We start from the raw sequence: 13,915 nt of genomic DNA, 5'->3' as shown, positions 1-13,915 counted from the left end.
TCTGAGGCATGCACCAGTATCTGAAGAAGTAGGTTTAATTTGTTTAAAGTTTCAACTATTACCATGCTGACAGTAGCCTAGATGCTCGTCTCCCAGTGTCAGGCTGGACTGTAACAGCTGAAGAGGCCATCCAGTGCTTCTTTCTCATTTTATGAGTCTGAGACTTAATGGAGTACTGTATGGGAACTTGGCAAGCACTGTTTTCACCTGGGGTGGTTGTGGAGGGTTATTCCATTAGTTGGGAGTGGTTTCCAAGGAACACTTGCTGTCAGATTCCCTATTGTCAGTGACTCATTTATGTGACAACCCAGCATGCTCCTGGCAGCGACAAAGTCCTCGGGGTAGCAGTGCTTTGGGGCTCACCTCTTACCAACAGGTGTGGGCAATAGCAGAATCCATCTTGCAAATTAAATGCGCTTAGGTATTTTTCAATTTTACTGTTATCACTGTAAGTGGCAGAGAGGGGAATTGAACCATTATTCTTTTAAAAACTATTACAAAATATGTATTATTACTAATCAATAAATAGGATTTTCCACTGCTTCAGTTACTCCAGGAGAACAAGGCAGGGAGTTTAGGCATCTTCCTCTGCTCCTTCAAACCCCCAAAGTTGTCTTCCGTCCTGTAAAAGACAACTTGAACTTACTAACCACACAAAGCCTGGCAGTATGAAAGGTTCATGCACTTTCTCAAAAGGGCCTGCCCTGTGCCAGGGGCTTGTTGAGGGTTCACATCTTTTTTTCCATCTTTTAATGAATCTTACTATAAGCAAAGCAATGGGCTCTGAGCCTGGAAGGGGAGACACAAATAAGAAATAAGACACAAACTTTGCAGCAACGTGTGTACACCAAGCCATTCACACGGCACAAGAAGTTGCTGATGTCTTGACCCTGGAGGAAGCTTATTCGCTGTCATTGCAGCCGGCCTCCATATTTCCCAAGGTAAAGGAGCCTCACATTTCCTAAATACCTAATATATGTTCATATTCGTTTAGCAGGGCTTCCATAACAAAGCATCACAGATGGGCGCCATGAACAAGAGAGATGTGTTTCTCGCAGTTATGGAGGCTGGAAGGCCACGATCATGTGATGGGCTTGTTTTTTTTTTTTTTGTCTGAGGCTTCCTCCTTGGCTCGTAGAGGGTTGTCTTTCTCTTGTCTTTTCATGATCTTTTCAGTGTGTGTGTCTGTGTCTTTTTTTTTTTTTTTTTTTCCGCAGTGAGTACAGCCGCTCCTAACGCTGCTGCTTCTTGGTCTTCAGGTTCTCCTCGGCTTGTTGAGCCGGCGGCGCCTGGCGTGAGTCTTCTCAGGCCTCAGGGTCAGGGGCTCGCATCTCTTGCCCTTGCAGAATTTCCTGATGTTTTCTTTCTGAGTCTGGTTAATAACGGTGAGAACACGGGCAACGGACTTGCAGACAACTCGAATCTTAGAGAGCTTGGAGGCCTCGCCGCCTGTCACTTTGGCGACTCGCAGCTGGGACCGCTCCACCTTCAGGTCGCCCAGCTGTTTCAGCAGCTCCGCCTCCTTCTTCCTGTGAAGGTCTCGAGACTTGATCTTGGCCATTGCTGCACAGGCCACCCATTCATCATGTATATAGACACATATATACATATATATATATAGACACCAATCACATTGGATTAGAGCACACCCATATGACCTCATTTAACCTTAATTACCTCTTTAAAGGCCCTATCTCCAAATATAGTCATGTTCTGAGGTACTGAGGGTGAAGGCTTCAACATGTGAATTTCGGGGCACAGGGTTCAGCCGATAAACTATGCCAAGTCTTTTATACATATTATTATCTCACTTACTCATGACAAAATTCCTCTATGGGAAATGCTATCGTTGACCTTTGCAAATAAACAAATCAGGGAAGTAGAATAGAAAAATGCAGAGATTTCGGGCTTTCTAATGGGGCTGATTTCCAATCCAAGCAATTCCTTGTAAGCTATGTGAACTTGGCTAACCCACTTAAACTCTAAGCTTTATCACACAAAAAATGAAGATGAATTTCAGTGAAGAATCAGCCTTCCCCAACAATACAATGCTACCTGTCTATAGTTAGACAAAGAAAGTTAAGATCTCAACTATTCAAGAGATCCTTACTATTTTTCTTCTATCGATAAGCAATTGATCACTTATAAATATGAAATGTTTTACCAGACAAATATTGGGATCCTTTAAAAATGTATGTTGTTTGCTTTATTTTCAAAGAGGCTTCTCAAGCTTTGGTAACTTATTAATAAAAGGCCCTTTCTCCCCTCCAGTACTGATGATTATAAGGTCCTCTCTCCTATATCTGACTCATGGAGCAAATCTTTATGAGCAAAGACAGTGTTTTCCTGGAGGGAATAACTGGTTGAACTCGTGTGTTTACAAAAAAAGCCTGAAGTTTTTTTTTTTGCTCACTGCAACCTCTGCCTCCCTGTTTCAAGAGATTCTCCTGCCTCAGCCTCCTGAGTAGCTGGGATTACAGACACTCACCACCATGCCTTGCTAATTTTTGTATTTTTAGTAGAGATGGAGTTTCACCATGTTGGCAAGGCTGGGCTCAAACTCCTGACCTCAAGTGATCCGCCCTCCTCGGCCTCCCAAAGTGCTGGGATTACAGGCGTGAGCCACCACACCCGGCCCCAAAGCCTGAAGTTTTGATGAGGTAACAACCTAAAGGTTGAGGATTCCAGTTTCTGATAGGATAAGCTTCTCCCTCCTTTTTTTCCACCTTTTTTTTAATGATAAACTTACTTTGAATTCTGAGTGTGTGGACTTTCTATACCACAAATATTCTACCTCTTAGGGGTGCTGTACTGACTCAATGAAATGATCTGTGAATAGCAAATTGCCTGGGACACTGTCAATATTTTAGATGTAAAATGATGGAGGATAAATAGCTGGTGTCCTGGGATGTAATCTCTTCAGTTTCTCTGAGAATCCTCGTGTCTCAGAGCCAAGAACTTTCAATAGCTGCCGTTGCTGAGGTTTTATTATTTTGGAATCAATGAGAGTTAAAATACAATGAAACAAGATGAGGTTTTTCATGTGATAATTCTATTTCCTTACAAAATTGGACAAAAAAATATTGATTAAGATTCATAACAAGGCTCATCATTACATAAATTTCTAAACTTCTGATTCAAACGAGGTACCACGAAGCTGATTACTTCCTGCAAAAAAATGGGAGGCGAACTTGTACATAAGGGAAGAATTATTCCTTTTTCTTTTCTGGCTTCTGCCTAAAATGGAAATTTTCCTGAAATTGAAAATTTTAAATTTTCTTGTTAATTGCAGTCACTACTTCTGGGAATGAACCTTAGACGCTCCGTATTCCCAAGAAGGCTCTTTCTCAGGGGTTTATAGAACAACTTGGGCTAGCTGTGGTTCTTTTGCACTCAGCTGAGAAGGGAGTGGTTGCACCCTACTTCCCAGGCCTTCCACAGGCCTAGTGCTGGCGGGTGGGCGGGTGAGCAGGCAGGCTTCTCTCAGGTGACGGTGACAAACTCTTGCAAACGTGCAATAGAAAGTGGAAGGGGAGTTACCTTCCAGAGACTGGGTTAGCTTAACCTTCCCCTCCCACATTGTACTTTTCACTATAAAGAAGTAAAAAGGTCAATCTTCCCCTTGGGACTGGTCTCACCAGTCACTTCGATAAAAGATACTGTCTTGAGTGACTTTCCAAGCCCCGGGCTAAGTCTGGAGGTCAGAAAGGGTCAGGAAGTCCCCCCCAGGGAATTCATTCTCCAATTCCCCTCCCCTTAGGTGTCGTTAGGTTGGCCTTTGTTTGCATTCAGACTTCAGGAACCTTTGTTTTCAGCTGGGCTGGGCTTTTTGCTGGGGTCCCACATTGTGATGTGTGTGGTGGGCTCTGAATTTTAGATGTGTCTGTTCCATTTGGTTTTCACTTTTTTGACATAGTTCAGTATCTGAGTCATTCATTGCCTTTCCCTGTATTTGAGCTCTGATTAATAGCTAATAGGACGAGTGGATAACACTTACACAGTGCTTACGACGTGCCAGGCGCTGCTCTGAGAGCCTTACAGATATCAACTTATTAATGGAAATTTCCAGGTTTCCAGTCTGCAGAATCTTTCGTATCAGGGCAATCCATATTTTTAAATTCAACCAATGCGGGTAAGAGGCTCACATGGTGCAAAGCATAGATGCAAAGAAGAGGAATTGAGTGGCTACCCTTCCCGAGCCTCCCGTGTGAGAACGTGAGTTTACAGGTAAGTGTTTCCTGTGGTAGGTTTTGATGGATGTAGAGAGATACACAGATAAAGTACTAAGGGAGGCTCAAAGGAGAGGAGGAACTCACATTGGGTTGTGATCATCATGAAAGAGCCACTTTGGGGAACAGCAAATATTTTAAATGGCAGCGGTGGGAGGGGAGCATGAGAATCACGTGCCATGTGCAGGCACCAGAGGGAAGCTCAGGCTTGTTCAGGGGCAGTGACAGCCAGCTCCTGACCTCCAAAGCTGGGACAGTAGACGGCCTATCTAAAAAACCTGGGGGTTTTCCTAAGGGCAAATGACAGAAGAGTTGTTTGTATTAAATGTCAGGAGGATAAAGTGTAGAGCCAGGAAGAAGAGGAAGCTACTGTAACAGTCAAGCAGAGAGGGAATGAACCTGGAGACGGAGCAGTGGCAATGGAAATCAAGAGAGCTCAAAGCGAGTTTGGGCTGCTGAATCTCACAGTAGGAGGCGAGGAAGAAGGGAAGAGCCCGCCACTGTTCCAGAACTTTTAAGGCTGGCATAATTCTGTCATTAGTTACAGAAGCTGCGGATTTAGGTGGGATATATGCGTGTGTCACTCCGCACAGGGGAGGATAATTGTATTTGTTTTGGACATGTTGAGTTTGAGGTCCTGCTGAGACATTAGGACAGTAGAGGCACGCCAAAATGACCAAGCCAGCGCTCTGCCAGTGAAAGTCTTACTGCAAAATAAATGCACAGAGTAAATATAGTCATTCAACTATGTCATAGTCTTACTTCTACCAACAGACCAAAACAATTATCAAGAGTAGAGTTCTTAAAGAGGTCTGTAGCAGCCGGGCGCGGTGGCTCATGCCTGTAATTCCAGCACTTTGGGAGGCCGAAGCGGGCGGATCACGAGGTCAGGAGATCGAGACCATCCTTGCTAACATGGTGAAACCCTGTCTCTACTAAAAATACAAAAAAATTAGCTGGGCGTGGTGGCGGACTCCTGTAGTCCCAGCTACTCGGGAGGCTGAGGCAGGAGAAGGGCGTGAACCCGGGAGGCGGAGCTTGCAGTGAGCCGAGATCGCGCCACTGCCCTCCAGCCTGGGTGACAGAGCGAGACTCCGTCTAAAAAAAAAAAAAAAAAAAAGGTCTGTGGCATGACCTCACCTAGTTATTTTCTAATATATATACGTATGTGTGTGTTTTATGTCATTTACCTTTGAATAATTCACATGAAAATAAAGATTACATATGTGTGTTTAGTTACTGCTAAATACAGAAAACACAAATTACAAACAGGCATAAAACAAAAACAAAATCAAAACTGTAACGGACTCATCACCCAAAGGTAAAAAACTATTAACACTTTACTGTATTTTCATTCTTTGATAGTTTTTTTCAATGTGTAAGTTTTCCCCCGTGTATTTGTAATCATAATTGTAATTTTTAAATCATTAAATCTGATTCTGACCTGCTTTTAAATCAGCTGTTGTACACACTCCCTGTGTAATCATCTCCCATTAAATATCTTTAGGGAACTTAGAAAAAAATTATAGTAAGAAAGAAAATAGAGCTGATAGAATTCTACCTGTTCTTTGGGCAATCCCCATAACATTTTTTTGTTTTTTTTTGCTGCTTTGCAATTTTCCAATGTTTGGACGTCTATTAAATTAAATAGAAGCTACCAGCATCTACTTTTATTTGTTTATCTTTGGGTGTTTATCCTCAGAATGGTCAGTAAATTTACATTATTTATGAAAGTGGAGTATAGCCCCAGATGCTAACAATAGTATAGTTTGTTATAATTCCACATTTATGTCCAATGTACATTGGAAAATACTAAATTTTCTGCCAAGCTTCTATAAAATCTAAGGAGTATAGGGGAAATGCTTTGCAGTTTCCATCATAAGGTAGATGAGATTAAAAAGAAATTAAACCCAACTCAAATATTCATAAATATTTTGAAGTTATTAGGGTAAACAAGATTCCTTTCTCATGCCTTTTCTACTTTCAACCAAAGGAAAAACACACTCAGTTCTCTTTAGTTTGTTTATATCAGAGGATACTGACCCTAGAAGCAAATACCAACCACACCTGTGGGACTGTTCCTAGGCCATTTGACATCCAGGTGGGGCTGATCCCTGGAGGAAGTTAATCTGTAGGGATCGACTTAATTTTCACTCATCTCTTCAGACTTTGTTTGCCTTGGAAAGCATCCTGAGGGACAGGATCCTTTAGGAAGATTTTCAAGAAGCCCCCTTAAGAATATTTTTTCCCTGCAAGGCCAGGAAGTGCCATTTTGTCCAAAATAATTGGAATTCAAACCTCAAAAAGGCTGAATTCATTTGAAAATTTGAAGTGTCAATTCAAGAAGGTTTTACATTTTGTAATGTTTTCTTATCCATGGCATAAGGAAGCATACAATTTGAAAGTTAGACTTGCTTAATTTAAAACCCATATTCTAGTTTTGTACCAGTGTTTTATCTGGTAATATTTAGTCCTAGTATATGTAGGCTGGGGACAGGATAGAGTCCAGTATGAATACCACATACAAATTATATGTTTATAATCACATATATGGCTATGATTTTTTCATTTTATAAAAATCAAGTTATTTTCTTATTAATGATAAAAACATCCTAACATTTTGTGTAATAAATTGCTTTTTGTGAAGTATTGGAAGATAACTCTAGGAATCTTTTTGTATTCACTGGAGGTACTGCTATTTAAACAATATCCTCCCCATTTATGATCAGAGCCAAAATGTTTTTAAAACATGATGCAAAGTATTACAACGTCTCATTATGGGGTTGAGGTTTCCTTTAACATCGTGTTTATGGATTTGAGAATCAAGTAAAGATAATAATTGAAGGGTTGTCTCTACTCAGCAGTTGAGATGGGAGATGGGGGAAGACGGTGTCAGCAGAAACCTGGTTACACGCAGTCAGCTCTGCCCTCCTCCATGGGAAGGAAGGCAATGCCCAAGGGTTGCCTTTGTAAACTACTCTCTTGATTTGTTCCTCAAAATTTTAAAAAGATTTAAAAAGTGTCTACCTACCCATTTTATTTTAATGCTAATTTTGAGTGGGCTAAATGGGACATTTTGATGTGTGGTACCGTTCACATGCATAATGGGTTCAGGCTGTCTCTGTGCTTTGAAAAGTCAATGTCTTTCGTGTGCCTGGTTGGTCAACTTTAATTGGGAAGGTGCTCAATTCTCCATTTCATTAAATCCCCACCAACCAAGAACAAAAGTGAAACTCTTAGTTATTATAAAAATGGAAAAACAAAAATCATTTAAAGTCATGCCTCAAAGAAACCCATCCTGAAAAGGACAAACCTGGGGGCCAAGATCACATGTTCTATGACAAACAGCAACGAAGATGTCCACCAGATATTCAGTGATCTTCAGAAATGATTCTGATATTCAGAAATCGTTGGAAATAGCTAATGCACCCGGGCCTGAATACCTAGGGGATGGGTTGATGGGTGCAGCAAACCACCATGGCACACATACACCTATGTAACAAACCTGCATGTTCTGCGCATGTATCCTGGAAGTTAAAATAAAATTAAGAAAAAAAATTGTTGGAAGTATTGGGAATAGCTACTTGTTATTTAGCACTTCCCTGCCAGGTTCCTTATCAGCATTATCTAATGTAATGTTCATAACAACCGTGTGGAATAGGATTTATTACTAACATTGGAGAGTTGAGAAAATAGACTTCAAAGTTAAATAAACTTGGCCCACATTTCCCAACTAGTTAAGGGGTGAAGCCCTGACTTGAACCCCACAGCTCCTCCTTACACAAAGACCCTGCTTTTGCTTAATTTTTATTCTCTTTCTTTGTGCTTTGGGATCTAGCATTCTGAATAATTTAGTAACCATTCAAAAAAAGGTATCTTATCCAAACTAAAAATAATTACATACAGAAAAGATAGTGTTTCTATATACTAGATTTCTTAAGAAGCAAATTCTTTTAAAAATTTTTTTGGAGGGATGAGTTGAAAAACGACCTCTTGGGTAACTATGCTTACTATCTGGGTGCAATCTACCCGTGTAACTAACCTGCACATGTACCCCCGTCTTTAAAATAAAAATTGAAACTTTAAAATTTGACTAAAAATGATGTTTTTCAAGCATAATAAATATTCTCACATTATCTAATCCTTTACATAAATGATAACTAAAAGCAGCTTGAACTTAGGGAATAAAAGGAAGACACCAGGGTTTTCCCATTTCCCAATAAAGCAGAGAAAAGCTGCTTCATTCCACCACTTGGGAAAGACATCACTGTAAAAGCTTTGGGAGTGGTATCAGGCTGTCTAGAGAGCTTATATTTAATCAATCGCATATGACTTCCCTCACAGTGGATGAGCTGTTCAGCTGGGTACTGAAGGGCAACCTGCCAGCCTCTTTACTCATCCAGCCTTAGTTTTCTTTCTGGATTTAAGAGGTCCTGGAGTCTTAATGATATTCATCTGTTATCACTTTCAGCTTAAACAGCTAATCACAGTGCACGTTATGTTTGATCAGTTCTTCTTTCCCGGAGAACGTGAAAACAGAGCAAGATGCTGGCACCAGGAGACGTCAGGAGAACCCGGACTCTGATGGGGTAGTGTCCCTGCACTGTATTTTATCAAATGACATATTGATCCGTGCCTGCCTAGGAAACCAGTGGGGGGCAAAACTGCTGAAAACTTTTAGTGCTTTTCAAATAGGCAAAGACATTTACAAAACAATATCTTTGTAATGACTGTCAGAAGCGCATCACTGTCTTTATGTGGAGAGAGATTTAGAATAATTAAATATAGTAGTCAGTGGGACAGAAAATGGAAAATTAGTAGAATAAATTAAATACATTTTCTCATTTGGAAAAGAAAACAGATACCTTTGGTGATTTGGACCCACACTCTTCAAGAAGAGACAATTAACTCTTTTTCAATTTGTTTCCAAAAAAAAGATAATTATGTAGTACCCTCTGTTGCAATTCAACTCAGAGCATTTTGTCAATCCCTTGATTTAATGACGGATGTTTAAACCTAATGGCATTGCAGAACAAACTTTAAGATGGCTACAAACCAGATGTTCTCAATATTGTCATTTTGGGAAGCAAAAAAAAAAAAAAAACAAAAAACAAAAAAACAAAACTTTGTTTCACATTGCCATGGGCAAAAAGAAAATCTGTTGAAGAAGCTGCGGGATGACGCAGAGCCAGAGTGTAAAGAGGGATCCTAAATTGTATTTGTATTCCAAAAACGAAAGCTCACCCGCTGCAAATGAGGGTTTTCTGGAAGTTCAAGAGATCAAGTTCACTTTTCGTATGACATGCACGTTATTTTGAGCAAGTGAAATGTGAGTGTTCCTGTCGTCATAACACGGAGAAGGTAAAAAGCTGGGCATTCACAGCTGCGAGGCCAGGAGTTGACACGCAGCAAAGGAACCTCAGACCTTTGCATCTTCAGCCACACCTGCTTCTCCTGTCGCTCCCCGGGGTAGAGCAAGCGGCTCGGCAGTCTCATGATTTCTTTCCCTGACCAGCCGGCAGTAGTTGGGGGAAATGGTAAGTCACAGCTGTTACTAAAAAAAAAAAAGAAAAAAGAAAAATCAAAGTTCTGAAATTCATGTACCTATAATAAGAATATAAATACCAGGTACTTTTGCCTACTTAGCCGATTCTAGTTGTATATTTTGTCTCCTTTCCCCCGATTTTTCCTCTTCAAAGCAACTTCTGAAGTTCATTTTAACCAGACTTCTCTTATAAAACAAAAGGAATTTGGGGACAGGTAACTCTTAGCCCCAGTCTTTGCCCCGTCTGAATCTGAAGGCTTTTCTAGTTCCCTGATTTAGAAAAACAACTATCTTCGTGGCCACGGTTGTTTCCTGCTTTCTGCCTATTCATCACTGCACATTATTAACCCGGAGATATGAAGCACCTCTCACCCGCCCAAATTGTATACTGTTTCTAATGTAGATAACCATCTTTATAAGGCAAAATGAAGAATCAGTTTATTGCAAAAATAATCATTTAAAAAAATTTGTCAGAATAGGCTAGTAAGAATCAACTCCCAAATGTCAGTGGCTTAAAATAAGAAAGGTTCATGTACATCCTGGGTGGTGGCATTGTCCCTTTGTTACCCGGGTAGTCAGAGTGGCCACCATCTTGCACATAACTGGTTGCTGTAACAGAGAAAGAGACAGCTCTGGAGGGATTTGCACCCCCAGGGAAACACTCAGCCCAGAAGTGACCCATCACTTCTACTTGCGTTGCATTGGCTGGAACCAGTCACGTGGTCCCTGTCAGTACCAGGAAGTACTGAGAAAGAGGGAGGGAACAAGAAATAGTCTGCAAATGGCAGGTAATTGTTATCAATCACAGGGAGTAAACCCAGTGAGCTCTCTCATGCCCATCCTGACTTTGAATTAACTTATGCTGCCTTTCAGTGGTTATTCTCAGAAGTGTTAATATCTATTTTGGTGAGCATGCGTGATCATTAGATCTTTTTGTTTCCGTTTAATGAAAAGTTAAAAAAAGGCATAAAAGATTTTGTTCCTATGAATGTTTAACTTCGTAAGCTTTAAGGAATCTCAATAGTCGTAGGTTGATAGGACTACGTTCCATGGTCTGGGCAGGTAGATAAAATCTAGTGCAAGAAATCTCAAAAGACTTCTAAAATCTGGCAAAATTTTGTCAGCTCTTTCCCATAGGAGGTTCATAATCTTGTTTCATTATATCATTTCTTAAAAATGGTATGAAATTCATAAAAAGTACCTAGAGAAAGATGAGTTAAAATAATACATTGTTGTATGAAAATTGACTCAACTCTTCTGCATAGCTCCTATTGGGTTGAAATGCTAATTATGACATTTTCACTTTTGAGAACTTCAGAAAGATTTCTTTTGTGCAACTGTTGCCAAAAAATCAGCATGATTGGGGAGCTTTCTCTGAGCTCTGTGTATTGTACTCAGTGTAACAGAGAACAGCAGGACAGCCCTGTGGTGGGCTGCCTCATCTATTTTTGTTTCACTAACTACATTCTAGTAAAGACACATAATAATTGCAACATAACAGAAGCTTTATGTTCCTACATAATGATGAAAGAATATCAATAACGTAGGCTCCAAGGCAGAGAAGAGACTCAGTGCTATTTCCTTTTCAGTCTGGAGGAAGCCAGAATGAACTATCAATGAAGGTTATGGTCCATCAGCCTAGAAATCAATAGAAAAACAAGTCATTGCACAGCACAATTCATCCAAATTGCAAGGGTCTTTATGAAATCTTTAGGAGCAGAAATATATCTTTCCAAGTACACTTTGACTTTAGAACATTTTCAGTGTACCAGATAGCAAAACTGTACTTTGCTGAAGTGTTACAATATCACAACAGCCACTAAGTTAGGGATTTGAAGTTTATTTTATTAGTACTAAGCAAACCCCAGAATAGATAAAACAGTTTTATGGCCTACATCTGGTCGAATAATAAAACATACGGCTGTACAGTCAAGAATCTGCAGCTGTAAGTTACTATAAATACCCAACTCAAGATAGTGACAGAGGTACTCACACATGGGATTCAGTAAGGTTTCTCCCTCTACACATCAGAGGTTGAATATTCATAATTCTCGGATATTTGGGATAGGATTCGCTAATTAACCATTTTTTTTTTGTTATAGCTGTTACTTCATTCTGATTATTTTACTTTATTTGTTATAGAGCTATTGTAGGTTCAGGAAGGGACCAACATAAACACTTTTATTCTTTATTTGACATTTTATATTTGTGTCACAATTCTCTACAGCCGGTCTGCAGCTAAATCTTCCTGTTGGCTTTAGAAGAATATTCCAAGGAAGAAGAAAAATTTCACCTAGGTTTCTTCATACTTTAACAGACTTACTGTGTTGAGAAGTAATATATAAGAAACGTAAGGTGTTGCGGTGAGGAAGCTGTGAAACTAAAGATGTTTGAGAGAGAGACAGTGGAAGAGAAAAATCATATCCCTACATCTGTTAAATTATTTCTATGTCACTAGCTCTGAGCGCTACACACTGGTCATATATCTATCAGAAAAACAGGGAGCTCTAAACAAAATTTATCCTCAGGCACACTGCATAATAAAAATGAGGTACTTGCCTATCACAAAATTGTACTATATCCTAGCTCCTTATTCCAAAGAACTGTCTTTAGGCTGCAGTAAGCAGGGGAAGCAAAGAGCTTTAGTGAGTTACCCTAGGTCTGTGTCGATGAAGCGAAGGGCCTGGCAGAGGTGGTCTTCTTCTTTCTTTGTGGAGGTGGGGTCGGCGTCGCTGGTGTGAACATGCAGCCTCTGGCTGATATGGAAAGTAGCAGATCAGGAATTTTCGAGCCACTTTGCTCAATGAAGGTGGAGAAGACCACCAGGCAGGCTGTGCTCCAGGCATGGTTCTGGGGGCTCTGGATGCATCAGTGAGCAAAGCAGAGATCGGAGGCCTTGCAGGGTTACCTCCTCATAGGAGGGGGTGGGACAAGAAATAAATGCCTGACCCGTTAGATTAGTAAATTAGAAAGCATAATAGAAAACCGGGTGCAGTGGCTCACGCCTGGAACCCCAGCACTTTGGGAGACCGAGGCGGGTGGATCACGAGGTCAGGAGTTTGAGACCAGCCTGGCCAACATGGTGAAACTCCGTCTCTACTAAAGATACAAAAATTAGCCAGGTGGGGTGGCACGCGGCTGTAATTACTTCCAGCTACTTGGGAGGCTGAGGCATGAGAATTGCTTGAGCCCAGGAGGTGGAGGTTGCAGTGAGCTGAGATTTTGCCACTGTACTCTAGCCTGGGCAAAAGAGCAAGACTCTGTGTCAACAACAACAACAACAACAACAAAACAAAATACCTTATTAGAGCGTCATGAGTCCCATGGGAAAACGAAAAGAAGGGAGCGGGTAAAGAGGATTGGGAATTGGGATGTTTCAATTTAGAACAGAGAAGTCAGAGAAGTGACGGAGAAGTGCCATTTGAGCGATAATTTCAAGGAGGCAAAGGAGCCAGCTAGGCTGACTTCTCGGGAAGATCATCCCAGCAGGAGCATCAACCAGGGCCACGTCCTTCCTGTGATCTGTCCTGTGATCCTTCCTGTGAGCATGTGCCCGGCTGTTAGAGGAACAGCGAGCGAGCTGGTGTGGGGTGAGCAGCAGCGGAGGGAGGCATAGGAGATGAGGTCAAAGAGACAGCAGATGGAGTGGGGACAGATCATTTCAGAAATGGGAGACACTACAGGGGCTTGGCCTTTATTCTTAGTGCTCTTTAAGTCATTTGGCAGCTTTGAGGAGGGTGGCATGCACCAACTTATATTTTTAAAAAATCACTCTGGCTGTTGAGTTTAAACTCAAAGATTAAAACAGGGAAACCACTTCGGTGAGTGTTACAGACATCCAGGCAAGAGAGGATCTTGGACTAAGAGTGAAGCTGTAAAATCTGGGAGAAACATCAGATTCTGCTGCATTTTGAAGATAGAACCAACAAGACTTTCTGATCAATTGGATCAGAAAGAGAAAAATTAAAAATGATCCCATCAAATGTCTTTTGATTTTACCTGTGTCATTGGAAGATGGAGTTGTCATCAGATGAGATGGAAAAGTTGACCCTCAGGCTGATTTTTTGGGGGAAGGTCAGTAGTTCAGTTTGTGTTGGGTGAGAATTGAGACATGGCGCACCGGTTGTTGAGGATCTTTATT

General features: G+C 40.9%; 1 pseudogene, besides 1 other annotated feature; it reads right to left on the bottom strand.

The window, feature by feature from the left end:
- Positions 1,210–1,577, bottom strand: RPL35P9 (ribosomal protein L35 pseudogene 9; annotated as a pseudogene).
- Positions 3,497–4,142: an enhancer, noted in NCBI's record as "NANOG-H3K27ac hESC enhancer chr13:107075540-107076185 (GRCh37/hg19 assembly coordinates)". NCBI's record gives its function as "activates a minimal SCP1, AML or CMV promoter by ChIP-STARR-seq in naive H9 embryonic stem cells {active_cell/tissue: H9 hESC(naive)}" and the evidence as "EXISTENCE:reporter gene assay evidence [ECO:0000049][PMID:30033119]".

This window comes from Homo sapiens, chromosome 13 (assembly GCF_000001405.40).
Source record: "Homo sapiens chromosome 13, GRCh38.p14 Primary Assembly".
Taxonomy (NCBI): Eukaryota; Metazoa; Chordata; class Mammalia; order Primates; family Hominidae; genus Homo; species Homo sapiens.
Note: the sequence above shows the minus strand (reverse complement) of the source record. Positions and strands in the feature narration are given on the sequence as shown.